This window comes from Homo sapiens, chromosome 6, assembly GCF_000001405.40.
Source record: "Homo sapiens chromosome 6, GRCh38.p14 Primary Assembly".
Taxonomy (NCBI): Eukaryota; Metazoa; Chordata; class Mammalia; order Primates; family Hominidae; genus Homo; species Homo sapiens.
Genome location: NC_000006.12, coordinates 142,620,737 through 142,644,972, shown reverse-complemented (window position 1 = coordinate 142,644,972; position 24,236 = coordinate 142,620,737). Strand labels below are relative to the sequence as shown.

Below are 24,236 nucleotides of genomic sequence, written 5' to 3'. Positions count from 1 at the left end.
TGATGACTGCAAAGGTTGCCCCCAGAGTACGTGGGAAAATACAGACAGTATTTTGTTTCCTTCTCATGTTAAATTTACCATTAGGAGTTTTATAGCATAAACATAGAGGAACACATCTTCCAACCATGACCTCTGGAATTCTTCAGGTTGTAATTATATGATCTCTTTCAATAATGACCATATCCCTGGCTTCCACAAATTTCCATCAGGGGAGAATAGGGAAGGGACCATGGTAGAGTAGTCCACCCACTTAAGCAATGCCTGTTAGCATGGCTTATGGTGAGCAATGATATCAACACATTAATTGGGAGCAAGGAGGATACCTATTTGAAGGGTGCATTAATGTCACAGAACAAAGGACTTGAGAGCCCTGAGGTAAGTACAGCTACCCCCAGTGGAGGACTGCCTGATAAGTCACATGGAGCTTATAGAGGACGTAAGGTGACCATGCTGGGCACCAGTGATGAGGACACACAGGATATTGCACATGCTACATTCTACTCTCTGGTCCTGTAGAATGGGAGGTGGCCACAGTAGGAGGAGAGCTCATGCAAGAGCCCACACACGGGATTCATGCCCAAGGATCTGTAGCAGATCATCAATATCCTCGAGCCCCAAACTTGTCCTAAGTGTAACAGAGTGAGATTCCTCCAAATTCAGTACTTTAGCACCACTCTGGTCATCCAATTGCCCCTTATGCTGCAGACATCAAGGGGCCAGCCTGGTGCTTCAGCTAGGCTTTGATGTGCTGTCGTTGAACACAAATGATTTCATGGGACATCAATATCAAATAAGGCCACTTTGTGAGCATAATACACCAAAACAAAAACAAGACCACTCTTTACTCATGTCTAAATGTGATTACATGAGATAAAACATGAATATAAACCTTGTCCAAGAGATGAAATTCCAAGCAGCCTTCACTGCACAGATAGTTTTCTTCAGTACTGGCCACATGGCAAGGAATATGGGTGGCCTCTGAGATCTGAGTGGCTGTGATTGACATCCTGCAGGGGAATAGGGACCTCCATCTTACAAATGCAAGGAACTAACTGAATTTGGCCAGCAACTTGCATGAGTGTGGAAGCAGATTCTTCCTCAGAGCTTCCAGAAAGAAATGCAGCCTGGCTGACAACTTGACTTTAGTCTCATAAGACCCTGAGCAGATAATCTGGTTACACGGTGCTGGGACTTGTGACTTACCAAACTGTAAACTAATACATGGGTGGGTGTTGTTTTAAACCTCTAAGTGTAATTTGTTATAAAGCAATAGAAAACTGATACAGTCATCAAAGCTTATGGTCTTACTTAAGATTCTTTGGTTTATTTCTGGTTTTACACTGCATTTAACTGTAGCAACTGGGTTAAACATAATTTTTCTAGAATTTTTCTTCCCACAGTGAACTTTATATAAAGTGCACTCTATACCACTTGAATAGAGTACGATAACAATGCTATCATCAAGTAAGCCCACCTCTGCTTCTTTACCTCCTACCCTGACATCAGCACCTGCAGTTTCTCACATCCCCATCACTGCCAACTCAGCATAGACACTCCAGGTTTTATGTTTGGCCTCATATTCATTCACATGTTATCTAATCCTCCTAAGGGTAAAGCCTTTGCTTTTATTTTCACAAAGAGCTGTCTGAGAAGTGTGTGTGTGTGTGTGTGTGTGTGTGTGTGTGTGTGGTTTCAAACTCTTTGTAGATTAAATTTGTTGAACTTAAATCTCTGAATTAAGAAGTATGTGAAGGGACTTCAAAAATTTCATAGAAAATGAAATTAAATAAATAAAAAACATAAACTTTATTTCTCATAAAAACACTATCATATACACTTTATTAGCTCCATCAAATTCAAAACACTTTTGTAAACAATAATACCGGCCATTTAGTCCATCCCCTACAGAACTGAGGGTCCTGGGAATTTACTCATGTCAATGCAGTCTTTTTTACATTATTAACTGAAGAAAAATGGATGCCCTTTAAAAATTTTATAAGTTTAGGAAACAAAAAGAAGGCAGAAGGAGCCACATCAGGACTGTAAGGTGGATGCCTGATGATTCACCATAAAAACTCTTGCAAAATGTCCCTAGTTTGATGAGAGAAATAACATTGTTATGGTAGAGAAGGACACTCCAGTGAATATTTTCCGTGCATGTTTCTGCTAAAGCTTTGGATAACTTTCTCCAAGCACTGTCATGATAAGCAGATGTTATCATTCTTTGGCCCCTCAGAAAGTCAACAAGAAAAATGCTTTTTGCATCCCCAAAAACCATTGCCATGACCTTTGCTCTTGACCATCCATTTCTGCTGTGACTAGACCACTTCCACCTCTTAGTAGCCTCTGCTTTGATTGTGCTTTGTCTTCAGGATCATACTGGTAAAGGCAGGTTTCCTATCCTGTTACAATTCTTTGAAGACATGCTTTAGGATCTTGATTCCACTTGTTTGAAATTTTCATTGAAATCTATGCTCTTGTCTGCAGCTGATCTGGTTGCAACAGTCTTGGCACCCATGAAGTGAAAAGCTTGCTCAGCTTTAATTTTTCTGTCAGAATTGTGAAAGCTGAAAAAATTGAGATGTCTATGGTGTTGGCTATGGTTTCTGCAGTTATTGTTATTCCTATTCAATTAGGGCATGAAAAAGGTTAATTTTTTTCTTGTAAATTAATGTGGATGGTCTGCCACTGTGGGCTTCAACTTCAATGTCACCTTGTCCCTTCTTAAAATAAGCTACACATTTGTAAACTGCTGGTTTCTTTGGGGCATGGTTCCTGGAACTTTTTGTAAATCATCAATTATTTTACCATTCTTTCACCCAAGTTTCATCATAAATTTGATGTTTGTTCTTGCTTCAGTTTTAGCAGAATTCATGTTTTTCTGATAGAGGTTCTTTTCAAACTTTTCTTTATCAGTGCTTCCAACTAGATTCTTTTTGCACTCTCTAACAAATTAGTGCAAATTTATTTTGCTGAAAAAAATTTGAAATCCAAGCATTTTTTTTTTACAATATACATTCTCCATGGATTTTTTGAAGACCCCTCATACTAGATTTTTGTTATTTGAACTTTTGCCTTTTCATAGCATGTTTTTGGTGATCTAGTGAAGTACTCAGAAAACTGGAATAAATAAATTAAGGCATTTTTGATCCAAGACCATTCAGATATGTAGACGGAATTGCCTGAATTAATGCTTAAAATATTGTAGGAGAGGTATTATTTCTAGGTTTAAATTGGACCAATTTTTTCTTGCTTTGAAATAGGCACAAAATATACCTTTCCAGGTGAATATTTATCAATGTGTTTGATCAGAAAGATGCACAGGAATGGTTAGGTTGCATAATGTCATGATGAAGTTTAGTGAACTCCTGGTGTTTGCATGTCCCTCAACAAGATGAACATAAGACTTTTCATATTGGCCTGGACATTTCAAGCGTGTGTCTTATCTCTTACTGGAACTAAAGACCAGTGGATGAAAGGCCAAGTTGTCTTTCTTGTTACCCAAACCACACATTTGCAGTAAAAAGAAAAAGAGTAAGACAATTTCACTTAAGAATGCCCTTGTTGAAGCAGTAAACATGTTACCATTTAAAATTTTGATACTTGAATATATATCTTTTTAGGTTTGCGTTATGACCAAATGGGAAATGTACATAGGCCATTTCTGTTGCACACCAAAGTATGATGGCTATTGCAAGCAATGTGAGATTGTTTCAGTTGCAACCTGAATTAGCCACTTTTCCCAAGAATATCAGGGGTTTTTTTTTTTTTTTTTTTGAAAGAGCTACTAACAGATGAGATACAGTTATTCATGTTTGGGTATAGGGCAGACATTTTCTTGAAAATTAATGTCAGACTGTCAGTTCAGGAAAACAATCATCACTCTTTGTTGCTAATGATAAAATTAAAGCTTTCAAGAGAAAATTGAAACTTTGGAAAATGTAATCTGCCATTTTTAATATGACAGTTTTCTAGTACTTAAAAAGTTTCCGATGAGATTGGAGGTGATATTAATGAATGCCACTTATGATATTGCCTAGTAAAATGTGTTAACATTTGGGAGATCTGCCTAACTCAGGGAACGAATAGGAGTTTATGAATGAATAAAAGATTCATTCAAACTGAAAGTTAGAGGCACAGATGTATAAAATTTTATTGATATAATTTGATTCTACATTGCAGCAACATTTAAGAAATTACCTCTTGTCTACTTTTGATATTGTATCAAAGAAGAATATTCACAAATATCTAAAAAGCCAATTTAAATGTTCCCTTTTTTTTCCAAAGGCATGTCTGTATAAGGCTGGATTTTCTTCATATACTTTAACCAAAGCAACAAATATCAACAAATTGAGAGCAGAAGATATGAGAATTTAGCTGGATTTTATTAAGCCAGATATTGAAGCAATTTGCAAAAATCTTTTTAAATGCCACTTTTCTCATTAATTGTTTTTGGTTTCCAAAAATAAAGCAATTTTTTAAAAATATGTAATTTATGTTACCATGTAATTGTTGTTGTGATTTTTAAATTCATTAGTAACTATTTAAAACTTCTTAGTTTTCATTTTTAAAATCATAACTGATACATGTAACTTGTAAACAAAAGTTGTTTGTAATGATCAACAGTTTTGAAGACTTTAAAGGGACCTGAGCACAAAATATTTGAGAACCACTCCCCCAGGGTTACTCCATTTTAAAAATAAGATACAACCACATACAGAAAAGTGAATAAAATACAGTTATATCATTCAACAATAATACTAAAGTGAACCTCTGCGTAATCTCCAATATGGTCAAGAACAACATTACAAACACCCAGAAAGCTCCATCTGCCTTCCCCAATCACATTCCCCTCTTTCCCATTTTTTATTTTTTCTTAAATACTTTGAAATTTGTTTACACTTATGTATAGCTCCCTATTTGTCAGATACTGCTCTATGTGCTTTAATTTATTTAATCTTCATGTCAACCCTAAGAGGCACTATCATTAACCCATTCCATAATTGAAAAACTTAGGTTAAATCACTGGCTCAAAGTCAAGTGGTGAGTTAATATTTAAACCTAGGCAATCTGGTCTAGCATCAAGTTAGCTGGTTACTTTTTTCTATAATATATTGTCTCTCTCTAAAACTTTAAATTCTTAGCTTGAAGTCCTTAGGGCAAAAGTGGTCTTGGTGCTCTGTTCGTCTCTTTGGGTTTCTGTGTTGGTTTATTAATGCTATCTTGCTAGCTTTTCAGTGCTTTTAGAAATATCTTAAAATATGCTTTCAGGAAATTTTAGATGCTTTCAATGACAGGCTTGGTCTGATTACTTATCTTTCCATATGACATGTTAATATAAGATCCCATTCTGTATTAATATTGAACCCATGGTAATGTAATAAATGTTAAAAGATGTGCTTGGGGTTTGAGGGCTTTGATGATATTCAGTATTTTTCTGGGCTTTATAAACAGTGCCTCAACTGGCCAATATCTTTAGGGTCTTCACTTATGTATTCATTATCTATTGCTAAAATAACTTTAAGCATCACGTCTTCACAATACCCTTCGTAACTTTCCAAAACCATTATCTGGGCTATAAATTATAGCTCAGTGTCCGTAAGTTTATATCTATAATTGCAGTACTTTGTGCTTACTCACAAAGAAATTTATCTGCAATTTTTCTCCGTTCATTAGACCAAGTTAAATCTCCTGTACTCCTCATTAATGTGGTGTTTTCACTACTCCAAAGAGTTTAATTCCATCTTTAAACTTCTACATTCCCCTCCTGACTCCTCCATGACATTTACTTATTACATGAAACTAGTTAGAATACTGATCTTCCATGGTGTAAAATCCTTCATCTATTTCAGTGCCCATTTATCCTTACACAAGGCATTTCTCTGTTACTGATAAATCAATCTTTTTCTCTAGTCACCACAGACTGTAAGGATAGTCACATTGGAAGGCAATTTCCATGATAGATATTTGAATAAGCCCTTTTGAAGGACTTTTGGATGTTGAGATTATACTTACTGAGTTCCCCCTTTACCTATGAATTTATTCCCTCTCTTCCTTCCTTTTTGTTCCTTCCTTCCTTCCTTCCTTCCTTCCTTACTTTTTCTTCCTCTCTTCCTCCCTCTCTCCCTCCCTCCCTCTTCTTCCTTCCTTCCTTCCTCTCTTTCTCTTTCTTTCTTTCTTTCTTCCTTTCTTTCTTTCTTTCTTTCTTTCTTTCTTTCTTTCTTTCTTTCTTTCTTTCTTTCTTTCTTTCTTTCTTTCCTCTGTCTCTTTCTTTCTTTCCTTTTTTTGGAAGAAAAAAAAAAGAAAAGAACTCTTTTGCCCAGGCTGAAGTGCAGTGGCATAATCATGGCTCACTGCAGCCTCAACCTCTCAGGCTCAAGTGATTCCTCTGCCTCAGCCTCTGAATAGAGGGCATCACTGCTGATGCCCCACCGAGTCAGAGGCTGGGAATAAGGCATGTGCAACCAAGCCTGGCTATTTTATTTTATTTTTTGTAGAGACAGGGTCTTGCTATGCCCAGGTTGGTCTTGAACTCCTGGGCTCAAGTGATCCTCCTGCCTCAGCCTCCCAAAGTGTTGGGATTACAGGTATGAGCCACTGCATCTGGCTGAATTGATTTTCTTTCACAAAACTCTGATGTATTTGTTGGAAACTTGGTTCTTTCCTTTCCGTAGATAAGGTTTTTGTAAATATCCAGTGATTTTTATTATCTGTTATAGATACCACTAAAATGGGAAATAGCTTAGCGCTCGCACTGCAGAATGGGCTCCTAAATACATACTGAGAAAGTGTCTTAGACACAGGCACATTCCCTGAAGAATCAGTGTGTTGTCACAATGATCTCACCGTCGTGAGATACTATGGCTCTTTATTGCTGTTTTCTTTTGTCTACATCTAGATATTATCGAGAAGTGACCTTGTTATCTGTACAGTCACTACTATCTTACCTTTTTTTGAAGGGAGCTAGATTGATCAAAATGTTTTGTTTTTTGTTTCTACACGCATTGAGCAGAAACAGGCAGACGTCAAAAATCATAGCTATCTAGTGACCCTTTAAATGAGGCTTGCATCAAATCATTCTTTTACATGATGTAAGTGCTGCTGAAGCCCTGCTGAGTCAGAGTCCACAAATCAAACAGCCCCTAGAAACCTGCCCTTCTCTGGCAGGGTTAGGGCTGAGACTGGGCCCTCAGACCATTTGGAATGACCAGTGATTTCAGCTCTCACTCCCTTCTCATCAGCACGTGTCTACAGTTGCAAGTAAGTGAATATTTTTTCTTTTTATATATGATTTTCACTGTAGGTTTCCAATATAGTTACCCTGGTCTGCGTCTCAGACCTACTGATATTGCCAACATCAATGTCTGTAACAGGTCACTTATTTGTAAGTCTAAAGTGTTGGAAAACCATGCTGAGAACAGGTATTCCACTAACCAGCATTTTCTCAAATATCGTATGTCTCTTAAAGGGAAAGAAAGTAATTATTCCCTCCTCTGCTTAAGTGGTAAATGAAAAAAGTCTTTCTCTGAGCAGTCAGAATTTTGTACAGAATATAGGAAATTGTATAGCTCTGCACATAATAGTAACTCATGAATTTTTGTTGGATGAATCAATTAAACAGACAATAAAAAACATATCCTGTCAATAAATCCAGACAAATTTTGGAAGTAAAATAGAAGGTACCTGTGATGGTGAATTTTATATGCCAACTTGCCACGGCCATGGGGTGCCCTGATATTTGTTCAGGCATTATTTTGGATGTGTCTGTGAGGGTGTTTGTGGATGAAACCAACATTTGATTCAGTAGACTGAGTAAAGCTTATTGTCCTCCATATTTTGAGTGGGTCTCATTCAGTTAGTTGAGGGCCTGAACAGGACAGAAGGCTGACATTCCCATGAGTAAGGGGAAACCTGTCCCACCCAACTTCCTTGGGCTGGGATATAATCATGAACAGAATATTGGTAGAAATATGTACATTAGAGGCCATTCTGGTGAGGTTTCAGATAGAAATGAGGAACATGTTATAGGAAACTCAAGGAAAGGTTATCCTTGTTATAAAGTAACAAACTTGGCTGAACTGTGTGTCCTCACATTTTGCAGAAGGTAAAACTTGAGAGCAAGGAAGTTGGTTATATAGCTGAAGAGATTTCTAAGCAAAGTGTTGAAGCAGTGGCTTGGTATCACCTGACTGCTTATAGTAAAACACAAGAAGAGAGAGATAAATTGAAGAAGGAATTGTTAAGCAAACAAACAATAAAATCCCAAACCAACCAACTCACAAAAAACCCCCAAAAATATGGGAAATTAAATATTGAGAAAATCCTCAGTCTATCCATATTGCAAAAAAAGATAAAGCATGTTCTAAAGAGAACATCAAAGGTGTGGCTGAACTATCACTTGACAAAGAGTTTGTGGCGTATATGAGCAGAAACTCTGCCAGTTTGAAGGAAAGGGGATGGAGATGGGACAAAATAAAGGAAGGCTGTCAAGGCTGCTTGGATTCTACAGGGCAGGACCATAGAGGTATTTGGCTGTGAAGATGCACTGTTCTTCAAGAAAAGGGAAGAATGGCCCTGAAGTGAATTCAGAGATAGGCAGGACTGCCACTCCTGCCACAGGCCCAAGGGGTAAGACTGTTTTCTCCTTGGTTTCAGAGAAAGAGGATCTGGCATAGAGCTATGTGGCCCTCACATAGAGCCTCAGGGGTGGGGCCCTCTCAGACAGTTGTGGGGGCAGGTCCCTCCCAGATAGCTGGAGGAACAGGGTGGCTCTGCAAAGCTGTGGAATGACACTACCATCCCAGGAAGGCTGGAAGTTGGGACATTGTATTAGGGTTATCTAGAGGGACAAAACTAATGGAATATATATATATTATATATATAATATATATTAAATATATATTTATAATATATTTAATTTTATATATATTAAATTATATATAATATATAATTTAATATATATAAAATTAAATATATTTAATATATATTATATATACTATATATACTTATATATATTTAACATATATTATATATAATATATATATATAAAGGGGAGTTTGTTAAGTATTAATTCATACTATCACAAAGTCCCACCATAGGCCATCTGCAGGCTGAGGAGCAAGGAGAGCCAGTCCAAGTCCCAAAACTGAATAACTTGGAGTTTGATGTTCGAGGGCAGGAAGCATCCAACATGGGAGAAAGATGTAGGCTGGGAGGCTAGGCCAGTCTGTCTTTTCACATTTTTCTGGCTGCTTATAATCTAGCCATGCTGGCAGCTGGTTAGACTGTGACCATCCTGATTAAGAGTGAGTCTGCCTTTCCCAGTCCACTGACTCGTATGTTAATCTCCTTTGGCAATACCCTCATAGACACACCCAGGATCAATATTTTGTATCCTTCAATCTAATCAAGTTGACACTCAGTATTAATAATCACAGACGTCAAGCCAAAGAGGATTATTCTCAAACCTTAAGGTCTAATGGATTTGCCCTCCTCGGTTTTGGGTCTTCTTGAGAACATCACCACTTTCTTTCTCCCAATTTCTCTCTTTGAGAATGGGAATGTCTATTCTCACCATTGTATTTTGGAAGCCCATAGCTCATTTGGTTTCACAGGTTCACAAGCTGCAGGGGAATTTTGCCTCAGAATGAATCATACTGTGATTCACATCTATATCTGATTTAGATGTTTAGATGAGACTTTGAACTTTAAGCTTTAGAGCTGATGGTGGAATGAATTTAGACTTTTAGGGTTGGAATTGTTGGAACAAAATGAAAGTATTTTGCATGGAAGAAGAATTTAAAATTTGAGAGGTCAGGGGCAGAATGTTATGGACTGAATTTTTGTATTCCCCCAAATTCACATGTTGAAGGCCTAACCCACAATGTGACTGTATTTGGAGATAGAGCCTGTGAGTAGATGATAAAGGTTAATAGAGATCATGAAGGTGGGGTCCTACTCCAACAGGGCTCGTGCCCTTATGAAAAAGGAAGAGACACCAGAGCATGCTCTCTTCTGCCAAGCAAGGACACAGAAAGAAGGTGCCATCTGCACACCAGGAAGAAGGCCCTCAGGAGAAACAGAACTGTCTAGCCCCTTGACTGGGCCTTCTCAGGCTCCAGAACTGTAAGAAATAAATTTCTGTAACTTAAAACACCCAGTATATGGTATTTTACTATGGCAACTTGGGCAGACAAAGACAATATCCATCACATTTCTTCTGAGAAGATCTAAATAGTCTAGAGGTAACAGGAGAGCAAAGCAAATCACTGTCCCATGCAGAATTCCTGTGAAGACAGTATTCACTATTCACCTTCAGTAATGCCACTGGTAGACATGATCTGTACATGATATTGACAGTTGAGAGTGTTCTATTAGAATTCTGTTGCATAATTCTTATTCCGGATTGCTTGGCAAACAAAGCATAACAACCTCAAGGAGGTGAAGGTGAACCATCCTTTTCCTTGTTGTGATTAACAAAAAAAAAAAAAAAAAAAATCTATTTGCCTTTTAAGGTCTCTTTACAGACTGTTTATATGATATAAAATATAATAAGTGCAGCTTAAGCTATTAAGATAAAGCCTTTAAAATGACACGAGGACTACATCAAGACAAAGTGATCAAGTGAATTGCAGAACTGGGGAACAGTGAAGGGCTGCGAACTTCCCATCCAGAATACTGTTTAGAAGATGTCCACACTGAATATAGTAAGAAAATTATGCTGCACAAATGTCCTCTGCACATCTTTAATCCCGATTTAAACAATGTCTTCCATCTAACTTTTCTATAGTTTTAGAGCCTAGGAAATAGGAAGAGAATTTGTCAAGATTTTGGGAGATGAAAGGAAGAAATGACCAAAGGGCTAGAAAATAAAGGAGTAGGATGGCTACAGAAATCAGAATTACTTAAGAAAAACTGTGTGGCTAAAATGTCTTCATTTATACAAAGGCCTAATTAGCAAGATGCTGGACACTCTGTTACTGATTCAAGTTGAATAAAGAAAAGGGAATTGTTGAAATTGAAGGTTTATGTTAGAAACAAGGGGAAATTATCTTACTAGAAGTAGTAATATTTACTAACAAGATAAATATGTGGTCACCTGAGTCTCCCAGAAAGTATTCCTCTTTTTTTTTGTTGTTGTTGTTTTTTTGACAGAGGATCTCGCTCTGCCACCCAGGCTACAGTGCAGTGGTGCTATCACAGCTCACTGCAGCCCAGAGCTCCTGGGTTCAAGCCATCCTCCCAGCTCAGCCTTCCCAGTAGCTGGGACTACAGGCACATGCCAGCCACCATGACCAGCTAATGTTTTTATTATTTTATAGAGATAATGTATATATTTTATAGAGATGAGATCTCTTATGTTGTCCAGGCTGGCTCCAAACTCCTGGCCTCAAGCAATCCTCCCCCTCAGCCTCCCCAAACACTGGGATTACAGGCATGAACTATCATACTTCAGATCTCAAAATTGTTTATTTTGGCCTTAGGGCTTGTTATGGTCTCAGCACAGTCCACTTTGCCCATGAGCTAGGGTAGCCATGAAACTCTGGAGTAGCCAGTCAAATTGACCACTGACCAAATGAATAAATAGCCACTATCAATGCCAGGTAGATAATTACAACTATTTCCTCACAAATCCACAAATTCCATTTTCACTTAAGTTTTCCAGAAATGTTAGTTAATAATAGATACATAGTCCAAATTTTCAAAATTATTTCAGTTTTACAATTGATACAGATAGAAGCAGAGTCCAACCTATTGTTAAATAATGCAAAGGGTGGTTGAAAGCCTATGTGAGGACACCTTGCACAAAGAGAGAGATGGCAGGGGTTTTGTCTGAAAAGATTTGGACACAGCCTTTCTGGAGATAGAAGACTGGAATAAATGACCTCTGCAATTTCTAGCGGCCTTATGATTCTGCAGTTTATACATTGGTTTTCAACACAAATAATCAACTATAGTTGACTGACTCTGTTGGCTTAAAGCAACACGTGGGTCTGCAGCTGCTTTTCCTCTCCCTGGAGCCTTCTCCCCCTTCTCTGATTTCTGGGTCAGGTATATGTCTTTACCTCTGTTGAAGAAGGGCCCTGGCTTCTGCGGGATGCCCATGCTACCAATGACAGAGCAAGAAGAGTGGACAGGAGTTTCAGTCAGTCTTTGGGCCTTTGTGTCCTGCTCCATGCACTTGAGCTCCAGCTTGTTTTGCTCTCCCCCACTTTGTAACTGCCTTAGGCCATTTGGGCTTCTATAACAAACTATCATATACTGGAAGGCTTCTAAACAACAGAAACTTATTTCTTTCAGTTCTTGGGGCTGCGGAGTCCAAGATCAAAGTGCCGGCAGATTCAGTGTCTGGTGAGACATCTGTGGAAGTGGGGAGAGAGCTCTCTAGGATTTCTTTTATGAAGACAGTAACTGCATTCATGAGTGCTCCACCCTCATGAACTAATCACCTCCTGAAGACCCCGTCTCCTAATACCATCACATTGGGGGTTAGAATTTTAATAAATAAATTTTGTAGGGACACAAACATTCAGTCTATAGCAGTAATCTTCCTGACTATCTGCCCTCTGGACTTCCTGCATTGGCATCTCACTTGAAACTTAACCAGCTTCCACAGTTGTGAAATCCCTTATAATATTCTCATGCATATAAATCTCCTAGTGGTTCTGCTTCTCTGGTTGAATGCTGGCTAGTACACATGAGAAAACTCTTCCAAGAAGGTGAGACACCAGGCGAACACTTAATGAAATAAGTAAATGCCTCCACTAAGATTAGAAATGTGCAGTTGGTAGAATCCCACATCCTTCTATAATCAAATCACTTCCTTAAACTTCACTAGAGCCAAACCATAAGAGATGAACTGATAGAGAAAACTACTTAACCATACTCAAGGTCATTTGGTACCAGCTTTTAAATATTGACAGAGAAATACTCCCATCTCATACATAGGGAAAACAGGAGATCAAACACTTAAATAAACTTGAACCCCTGGCTGCATTAAAGGGAGTTCAAGGTTGAGATTTTGTAATATCCATATGGTTCCAGTTAGAGTTGGATGGATGAAGGAAAGCTGTGATGGTTATCAGACTGACTTCCTGGACTCAGATGGAAGGAAGTCACATATATGGTATATGCTAGATACTTGCTGATTTCATTCTCTACTCTCAGCAGTGATGACTTCCCACAGAACCTGTAAGAGAAAAACAAACAGAGAATAATGTCACATATAAGTCAGTGCGTGTATACACACACATGCACATACACACATAATAATAGCTAACACTTCTATAACCCTTTGGTTGCAGTAACTTAATTAGTCACCAGCATAACCTGTAACTAGGTAATATTATTACAACTATTTATCAGACAGGAAGGAAGATATTGTGGGATTAAGTGTCTTGAGAGGGTCATGCTGAGGTGTCTGGTATCTACAGCCTGGTAACCAATGCAGTCCTGCTCCAGGGCCTCTCTGCCTATCAGTTCCACTCTGCAAGTGTATAATCCATGTGGGTGTGCAGGTGTGCGAACCTGACATCCATAGTTCATAACCTGGCTACAAATTGCTTTTTCAACTCCATCTTTCTCCTCTCTTAGATGTTCTCGTGTTTAAAATTTCCATAACATTCTTATGTTTAAAAAAATTGAACATATTTATAATAGCTTTTCTGAACTCCTTCTTAATTTTATCTCTCTATTATTTCTGTGTCTGTGCCTATTGACTGATTTTTTTATGGTTGTGGGTCACATTTTTCATGCTTCTCCATATGTCCAGTGATGTTTTAATGGAAACTGGACATTGTAACATCACATTGCTGCAAGTATCTCTCTCTCTCTCTCTCTCTCTATTTATATATATGATAAGAGAGAGAGAATATATATATAAATATATATAACACAATATATATTTATATACTATATTAGCATATATATTACTGAATAATATAGTATATATTAGCATAATATATTTATGTATTATACTAGCATATATTATATTACTTAAAATATATAAATATATATACAATATGTCTCTTTGGGGTTTTATTTTTCTTTAAGTAGTATTAAATTTTCTTTTGGCAGTAAGTTATTTATATGTGAGCTCCATATTTTTAAAGCTTATTTTAAAACTTGTTAGGATGGGTTTAGGCCAACCTTTATTCTACAAGCAGTTTAGCTTTATTAGTAAGACTGGAGTGTCTTGGGTGTCTCCTGAATATTCTGGGTGTTTCAAGAGTATACTCCACACTAGCTGGATGAATCTCAAAGGTGTCTCACTCCTGTGTGAGCTCTGGGAATTATTCTGCACAGAGCTCCATGCTTTTTGTTGTTTTTCTTCAGAAGTTGTTTTTTATTGCCTAGTCTTGTGGATTCTCACAGTGTGCTCATGTTATTCAGGCAAAGACCAGAGAGGATTCCATGCAGATTTGGGGAATGTTTTTATCTGCATAGATTGCTTCTCTAGCAACCTGCACCACACATTCCAGTCTCTCCATCTTCCCTGAACTCCAAACTCTGTATCCTCAGCTCAGTGAGAAAGCTATGCTCCTTCTCCCAGTATTGTGGCCTGGAAGGAAGGAAGGTGAGGCAATTACAAGGGTCACCTCATTCGTTTATTTTCTCTCAGGGATAGTAATCCTGTACTGCCATTTCTAAGATCTGGTAACAATCCTTTTCTATACTCTGCCCTGTTTTCTAGTTGTTTACAGTAAGAAAGCAAATCTGATATCAGTTATTCCATTATGGCTGAAAGAGGAATCCAATAATTTTATTGTAAATTAATTATTAGTAGATAACAATAGTTTAAACAAGACTGAGTATGAATGAATTGATATAAAACTACATTGACTAAAGCTTTATGTTTATGTTTTTTAAAAAGCAAATTTCAATGTGCACAGCTTGCGCATTTTCTTTTCTAGGTTCTCAGTTGGATTGTGAGAATTTTTATGCTTTTACCATCTTTTCCTGCATATATGTCATCAAAGTGTCCTGATACTTGGTTTTGCAAGGCAGATCTGTGGATTTCTGCAGATATTTCAACCATATCAATGAGTACTATTTCATGCTCAGATCAACTGTGCATACATACAATGAAAATTTACTAGTCTATATTTTTCTCTCAGTCCAACCATCCCAGGAGATTGATGAAAAATGAAATAAATCCTGTTGGTATTTTTACAACTCTTAGGGGCAAAAACCATTACACTTTCAAAGAAGAGAGGAAGTGTATTTTAGTGGTCAAGGGACCAGAAGAGATAGAGGTACCCCAAGGTTTGGGGTACCTCTCACAGGTCTCACAGGACACAAATGTCCTGGCTGCATAGTGTTCCTGGGCACGGCTGTAGCTGAATGCTTGTATGTCAAAGGGGAGTTCCCTAGCAATGGAACAAAACTGATGATTTAAAGAGAAGGCCCTGAAAGGAGGTCATGTGTCTGAAAATCTGGAACCACTTGTCAATCTCACTCCTACTTTGAACGGGAGTCTTCCTTGTACGGAAAGTACTTTTCTATTATCTTTGAGCATTCAATAGGGGCTCAATACATGCTTGTTAAATAATCATTGTGAAAGGTGAGCACACTCCCTTGCAAACATCTCCCACTCCAGTGCACACTCTTCCTTTTAGGTTTGAATTTGTTTGTTTTTTCTCACCAAACAAACACAGAGGCCTTTTTATGAAAGGATCGTTTTCTAAAAATTACCCAGGAATCAAATGTGAAATGGATACTTTCTTTGGTAAACTAACATTTTACAATGTTATAGGGACATTGTTTTATTTATTTATTTATTTATTTATTTATTTATTTATTTATTTATTTATGACAGAGTCTCCTTCTGTCACCCAGGCTGGAGTGCAGTGGCATGATCTCAGCTCACTGCAGCCTCCACCCTTTCAGGTTCAAGCAATTCTCATGCCTCAGCCTCCCAAGTAGTTGGGACTACAGGCATGCGCCACCATGACTGGCTAATTTTTTTTGTATATTTATTAGAGACAGGGTTTCGCCATGTTGGCCAGCCTGGTCTCCAACTCCTGAGCTCAGGCAATCCACCTGCCTCTGCCTCCCAATGGTGTTCTTTATAATCCAAAGTCAAACTGCTATCTCTGTAATCTATCACCTGGACTGAAGAAGAACCGAAGGGGCACTGTGCAGCATTAGCACCCGTGTCCAAGTCTGCTGTAGGTACATCAAAGATGCCCGTGCAGGCAGTTTAGATGCAAGGTCGGGATCACTATCTTTTCTGTCATTCTCCAGAGGTGGGGGTTGGGGAACCAGTCAGTTACAAAGCACTTCAGAACTCCTGGGAGATATCAATAAAATGAGGCTTCTATATATATAATAGAATAATATAGCTCCCAGTAGTGTTTTTTTGAGAGACAATAACCCATTTAATATTTTGAAATGGCTTGCCCAGACAGCACTCGTTGGAACATCTTTTGCTTTTCCTGACCTCCGTCTCAAAGGTCTTCTAGCTTTGAAAAAAATCCACAATTCTCTGGACTTCGTGAGGAAAGCAGCTAAGATGTCTCATTGTTGCAAATGGGATTTTTTCAGAATTTCAGATTGCTGGTGTCAAAAACATAACCAAACAAAAAATGTCTTAAACTTGTTCTTCACTCATGTTCTCTTATCCCATGCTTCCCTTACACATTAAGAGCATGAATGTAGATCCAATTAGACTGGGCTATTTCTTAACCTATATTCTTGTCCTTGGAAATAGGAACATGTACCATGACTACTACTGATAATGGCCTGCTTTAACAAATACTTCACAGTTATCTGATGCATACTCAGAAATTACTTGAGCAACATAAATTAAATCAAGTAGGAATGTGTGATTACGTAGAATATAGTTTTAATTAGAAGGCCTGGGTCAAACCCCTGGAATTAGTAGTTCCTTAGTCATTGAAGGTGGTGCCATAGATTATCTAATCATGATCTCTTTATATAATGGGTGGAATATTTCTCACTTTACTTACTTCATAGGATTAATAAAAAGATTAATAAAATTGTGTATAGCATGCATGTATCTCTCTATGTATGTGTGTGTTTGTATCCTCTATTCACATTAGCTAGGCAACTGTTTCCAATTTCTCCAGGAATTTTATAAAAGCAATTTTTATGTAAGTAATTTATTGGTAGTGAAGTAGACAAGAGTAATCACAGTGATGATGATGATGATGATGAATAACAACCATTTTCCTGGTACCCCTTTAAACCCTTTGCATACATTATCTCCTTTAATCTTAGCATTTGTTCAGTTGAGGAAACTGAAACTAAAAGATCGCTTTGCCCCAGTCACACAGCCAGGAAGCCCAGCAGAGATTCACACTCGGGTCTGACTGGGGTCCACGTCTGTGTTCTGTATACTACTGTGCCCCTCTTGCTCCCTGCCTGGTAGAGCCAAAAGAGTCAGCAAGAAAATAAGAAAAAGTAGTTTGAGACATATTTGAAAATAAATTCACAATACAAAAAGGATCTCTTGCCCAATCATTAAAGAATAATAAATCAATAATAAATTATGCAAGTAACATCTGCCAATATAAATATGCAGTGTGACTAGAAACCAATAACAAAAAGTAAAATCTACCTGATTGGAGACAAGAATCCTTTTAAAAATAAATCTTGAGTCAAAGGAAATATACAAATCAAAATTATAGAATTTCTACAAAAAAAGCTTATAGAAACCATGTTAACATTTTTAAAAGAAAGAAAATAAAAGCAATAAACATACAATTCAAAAGTTAAGAAAACACACAAAGACACTAAAAAGTCAAAATAAGGAAAGAGGGAGAAATACAAGTGGAAAAATCAGTAAAGTAGGAAAAAAAAAAAAACAGAAAAAAAATGCCCAGGTCATTTATTGTTCACAGTTTTAAACCCAGGATGTATGTATCTGATATGCAGTAGCAGGGGCTTTTGAGGGCCCTGGCCACTTAAATAGTAGCATGCTCTCTTCAGGGTAAATTGGATGGGAGAAGGCATGAAAGGCAAATGCATCCCCACCCTTCTCCAAACTCCACTCCAAGCGGCAAGCAGAGCCTGAATGGTGTCACTGAACATGCATCCTTACTGGCCCTGGGGGCAAAAGATCACAAGATTTTGGAGGAAAGTTAGAATAATTATAACGCCCAGGGTATAGAAAACTGTAACTATTCGAACAAGTCAGCAAATAAAAATGTTGTCTGGACTATAGCATGGTTAAAACTGGTAATAGAGAGTTAACCTCAGAGGCAACCATAGAATACATAAAATAGCTTCAATTGATGGTCTCATTAAATGAAAACTTCCAAGCTAATGATCAAGACAAAAATTAATGAATTTTTCAATTGCTTTACTTAAGAAGAAATTAAGTGCGAGGCATGAAATTGTACAAGTGACCTTTTCTTGTCATGAGTTTTGGAATAATGCTTGTAAAAATCTGACTTTATGTTAGATTTCAAATTAATTTTACATGTAAATTAAATTTTATAGGGAAAGAAAGTTTCCTTTTTTACTTGTGCAGTTTTAAAAAGACTAAATTTTGAAGTGAGTTTCAAGGACAATGGTAAAATCCTCAAGACAAAGGCCTTGCTAAAGCATGTTCTTTGGACTAAAACAAATGAAACAATTTTATTTTCTTGCTGGAAAAAAATGTTCTGAGCATTTGGTTTGGTTTTAAATATCTTATTAGAAAACAGTGCAGGGTCTTGCGCTATAAGAATATATAGATTTTCACTATCAAATGAAATCATTTTTAAATTTACAATAATCTTTCTGATTCTGATATGTGTTTATTGAATACATATTATAAAAAGTTAATAGCTTATCATAAATGTGATCTCTTTTCTCTCTCTATATATGTGTGTGTGTGTGCATGTGTGTATACACACATACACACATAGACACATATATATGAAAATTTTTAATTCATACATATATACTGTGATATACATATTCTAATGTAATAGTACCTGGTCATAAATATCACCCCAAGTGCTTATGAATTATACATATCTGATTAGTATGAACTTATACCTAATCACAAGTACTTAGAAATATAATATTATCTACTTTTTGAAAGTCACAGACCTTACTTTAGAGCTGTTCTATATACACTGTAAACTTTAAAAATCAGAAAAATAGACATTAACTTGTTGATATGATTCTAGTTGTGCTTCAACTCTCTTTTCTCATCAAAACTATGTCCTGAACTTAGGTATCACAGCAACTGAAATTAAATGAATGGGTAGAGCATTGCAATTCTCTGGCTAGAGTTTCTTTAAAATGAAATTGCTTTGGAGAAGGATTAGCTCATTGATTTATTAGGACCTTGTTAGGAATTATTTATGTGTCAGAGGCTTTCTATTAAACTAGACAACTTGAGGCTACAAAGAGACACTGCCAAGGGTCTATGGAAAAGGATTTGGTGTGAGACACACCCTTACCCATACCATGGGCAGGCCCAGGCATGGTGATGCTTTGCTTGTTAGAATGCTGGCCCTGAGAGGGTAGACAAAAAAATGCCAATAAGCCATGTCACTGTGGGTGACTTGAAATCCTCAATATCATCTCTCTTATTTCTCTCCAGATGATCTAAAACAGGGATCACTAACTCAAATATTTAGAGGGGACCCCAGGTGACATTCATGAGAGAAGCAGGCCCAATAAGTCTATGACAAACTTGAGAGTGTGCCCAGCTCTACTTCAGATGAGTAGCACCATGCCTTTAGGGTTTAAAAAAATAACTGGAATGTTGTATCTAATGTGAAATTTCCCAAATTTAAAATGTTGGCACTATATTTGTATTAATCGCATAGGTCATCAAAACTACATCATTAGGCTAGAGCTGATTTTTGGTTTCAATGTACTATGCTTTTAAAGTGTTTGGTCCTAGGTCTTATTATATGAATAAAGAGAGTGGGGAAGATTAGCTAGTACAGTGGTGAGGGTGTTGTTTATTATTTCTTCATTCATTATAAATTTAAAAGAGGACCTACTATATTCTAAGCCCGGTTCTACTCATTGTGGATAAAGTGGTGAGCAAGTCCCTGCCTTTATAGAATTTACATTCTTGTGAGTAGGAGTGGGTGAGACTGCTGTAAAATGGATAAGGAAAGATGAGAAAGAAATGGCATGAAACGTGCAGGTCCATAGAATTTTTGAGTAGTATGAGAGTTTGTTCCTTCTTATTTCACAGACATGGAAAATGACTCCCATAGAGATTAGTGGATTGCTCAGGATATAGTAAGTTACTGGGAGAATCCAGGCAAGAACCCAGGGCTGTGTTTGTGGTTGTGCAAACTATGCAATTACACGGGGCCCCACGCTTGGTTTAATGCTCTGCTGTCACTGTTAGAAATTCCTAATTATCTTTGAACTTGTGATTTGTAGTAGAAGTGCAATGCAATGATGAAGCTCGTGCTGTTCCTTGCCACTTCATGTGCACAGAGCGTGCGGTGGCTCTGAGCACAGAATTCTGGTAACCACAATGCATGGAGTTCAAGGAGACTCCAAGTGATTGCAAGGTAAACCTGTTATGTTCATTCTGAGCGATTGGGAGGGGCGGGGGGGCGGGGGGTGGGCTTCTGACAGCCTCAAGAAAAGCTACACTTTCCATTCCAAGGGGAACTTGCTTAGAACACAGAGAGAAGACTATGGTGTTCCAAGAAACTCAAACCACCGAGGAACCCTATTGTGTCCTTTCTTACATGTGTTACTCACTTGCAGTAGTCAGCCACTTATGCTGAACATGCTGACATGGAAGGAAAGGGAAAGACAGGGCAACCAATAGTTCTTTTTCCTTTCAATCTTTCCTTAGCCATCAGTAACCCCAAAGGTAGGGAGAGTTTGTGGAATGTGTGTGCATCAAGAATTGAAATAAACACATTCAAGTTTGTTCTGTGCAGTGTTTCCACTGTTCTGATAAGAACAAAATAAATACGCATGTAAAAACTATGAAATATGAGGTGTTTGATTTTAGTGATTCTGCATACACATCAAATACTCTTACATTGGCATTTAAAACTCATAGCACAATATAAAGCTAAATGGTAAAATTCACTCATAATTTAACTTCTGTTTTGTTTTGTTTTTTGGAGATGGAGTCTCATTCTGTCACCCAGACTCTAGTGCAGTGGCATGATCTTGGCTCACTGCAACCTCTGCCTCCCAGGTTCAAGCAGTTCTCCTGCCTCAGCCTCCCGAGTAGCTGGGACTACAGGCACACACCGCCATGCCTGGCTAAAATTTTTGTATTTTTAGTAGAGACGGGGTTTCACCATGTTGCCCAGGCTGATCTTGAACTCCTGAGCTCCCAAAGTGCTAGGATTACAGGTGTGAGCTACTGAACCCAGCCAATTAAAAATTTTAATTTTAATTTACTTAGAACCACATTAAACAACATTAAATATAATTTAAAACCCCATGATGAAGAAGGAAGGAAACTTTATATTATTTTAGTGCCTTCAATGACTCTTTTCCTGCTTTTTACCAATGAACCCTGCATTTTCATTTTGCACCAGCCGTGCAAACTACGTAGCTATACCTGCTGAACCCAGGTTAGAATACATTCTCTTCACTTGCAAGTCACAATGCCTCCCTGAGCTCTGGTTTGATGCCAGAATTGAGTGGTGATGATTATTAGCCTACAACAAGGAAACAATGAAGCCTTGTTTAAATAGTTTTCACTTTATCTAAGTTGTCATAATCATAATTTCATAGTAAGTATTAATACACCCAAACTTGCCCATCTTTCGTCTGTTCTGGTTTTTAATTAATTTATCTCATAGCCCTGCTCATGAGACAAAATGAGGTAGTGTACAAGCAACTCATAAGACAGTTTATGTTAATTACTGCTGTTTTGGCTTGATTGTTGAAACGTGGTTATCTGCTGTTGAAATAAAAGAGCAGTTCTTTGTCTCAGCTGGAAACAAATGATTAGGATATAGGATGCCTTTTCCAAAGAGAGGAGCTTTTCAAAGAGCACATTGTCATTATTTTGGGAGAATCATTCTGAAGAGACAATATTTGCTCTTTTTTCTTTTCACTTTCAATGCTATTAACATAAATTTGAAAAGATTTTGATAGGCATTCACATCTCCTATGAGGTAGCATATGAACCTGGATACAATTTAGTTTCCAGAACAGTTTGGAGCATTAGCCTTGTGTATCAGCTTGTTAGGGCTGCCACAATAAAGCACATACCAAAAACTTAGTGACAGTCTTAAACAACAGAAATTTTTTCTCTTAGTTCTGGAGGCTGGAAGTCTGAGGCCAAGGTGTCAGTAGGGTTGGTTCCTTCTGAGGGCTGGGTGGGGAATCTGTCCCATGCCTATCCCTTACTTTTAGTGGTTTGCTGGCAATCTTTGGCATTCTTTGTTACGAACAAGCCTTACCCTGATCTCTGCCTTCATCCTCACATAGCATTCTCCCTGAACACGTGTCTGTGCCCCCAACATCCCCTTTTTATAAGAAACATCCCCTTTTTATATAACCTGTCATATAAGGTTAGGGTCGAACCTAATAAGCTTGTTTTAACTTGTTTACCTCTGTAAAAACCTTATCTCCAAATAAGGTCACATTCTCCGGTACAGGAATTAGGACTTTAATATATCTTTTGAGGGGATACAAGTTCTTGGAAATATTAAACTTGGCCAGGATAAGGAATCAAAATCTTCCAGTCTCCATCTGTCTCTCTGGCTTACTATTGAATTCTTCAGTGGAGGCCAGCCTGTAGAGGCCTCATGAGGCTGACACTGAAGTTCTCCTGGTGACAAAGATTAGAGAAAGTTGTGTCCTTCTACTCCAAGACATTGGTCGCCTGAACAGAAGGTCATGCCCCTTTCATCCCACCACACCGTAGTTTCAGACACATGTGTATGTGTGTATGTGTGTGTATTCAAAAGGAGTCAGAAGGACTTGGAAATGTTGCAGCAACTTCTCCCCAGAGTACAGTAGACTTGTGTGGACACCAAATACCACTCCTATCACATGGTTTGATTAGGTTATCTGACAGACCATGTAACAGTCCCTGAAACTTGGAGGGCATTCAGGAGTTTTTTGTTAAATAAATAAAACTAATGAGAGGGAGCTCTGTTTCTTACATACTTTCTCCAACTTTTTACTTCCTTATCTTTTTTCACTGGAGTCTAGACCATGAGTAGAGGGTGGGGATGTATTTATATGTTTAGTTCCTGGTCCACTGTCAGTGGGGTCTACCATTATCCCCATCCCTTGTACTCACAACTCACATGCTTTCCATAAAGAAGGTTGATGCTTGCAGTGCACAGCCAAGTTTACTTGATATAGACCGTCTAGCTTTTTCCTACCCTTAGAAATTGCTTGGACTTAGAGCAATGATTATGCAAGTGTGTGTCTGTGATCTACCTGTGACTGAGGTTGACAATCTCCTTTCTATCTCACTATTTTGCTGCCTAAGCCTTTTTGCTGACTTTGGGTGGCAGGACAGGTTCTTCACCAAACCCCACTTTTAGACATCTATTCCAAATTGAAGAATGAAGTCAGCATGTTATTTTTCAACTTAGTTTGACTTCATGAATGGGAAATAGTTTGAAGGCTTTTTATATGCTAATCTTAGTCTAAATTGAAAAACTGTTCACAAGTTTTATTCATTTACTCATTCATTTACATGTATGTATTTGCATATTCTCTTCACTATATCCATTTAAACACAAATATATTTATACTTCTTATAAGTGAAGATTAGACACCAAGATGAAGAAGGCAAAATACAGTTTCCTAGGTTCGGGGAACATCCAGGCAAAAATATTTTTCAGGATGTTGCAAGTATGGGTCTGGAGTTCAGGAAAGATATTTGAGACTCAATTCTCTCAAGATGATGGCTTGACTCTTGATATTAAATGAGATTACCAGGGAGAGAGTGAAGACAGAAGAGCAAAGAAAAGGGACAAGAGATAAATCATTATGTTAGGCCAAAAGAGACAAAATTATTCAACTTATTCCTGATTTGGTACTTTGATGTCCCTTTCTGGAATTTAAACAAGCTTGACTTAGTGTTAAAATTAAACCACAGTCCTATCTCTTATAAATTTTGTAAGTTTGTAAATCCCTGAGAAACTTCTACTCACCATGACTGACATCCTCATAGCCTAAGCTGGTTATGTCTTGAGAGCCAGGGCTAAAAATAAAGGCTAAAACTTATGTAGTACTTTGTCTTGTACTAGACATTAAACTGAACAATATTTACATGTGTAATATCATTTAATCTTCAAACTAATGCTATA

General features: G+C 37.6%; 1 long non-coding RNA gene across 2 annotated transcripts in view; it reads left to right on the top strand.

The window, feature by feature from the left end:
• The first annotated feature begins 7,083 nt into the window (after positions 1-7,083).
• The window catches only part of LOC153910 (uncharacterized), a 111,435-nt gene continuing 94,282 nt past the window's right edge, over positions 7,084-24,236 (top strand). The window contains exon 1 of one of the 2 annotated variants that reach the window (NR_027312.1): positions 7,084-7,260. This is a non-coding gene — a long non-coding RNA (uncharacterized LOC153910). The remainder of the gene's footprint in view (positions 7,261-24,236) is intronic. The other variant, NR_027311.1, reaches the window with a different exon arrangement.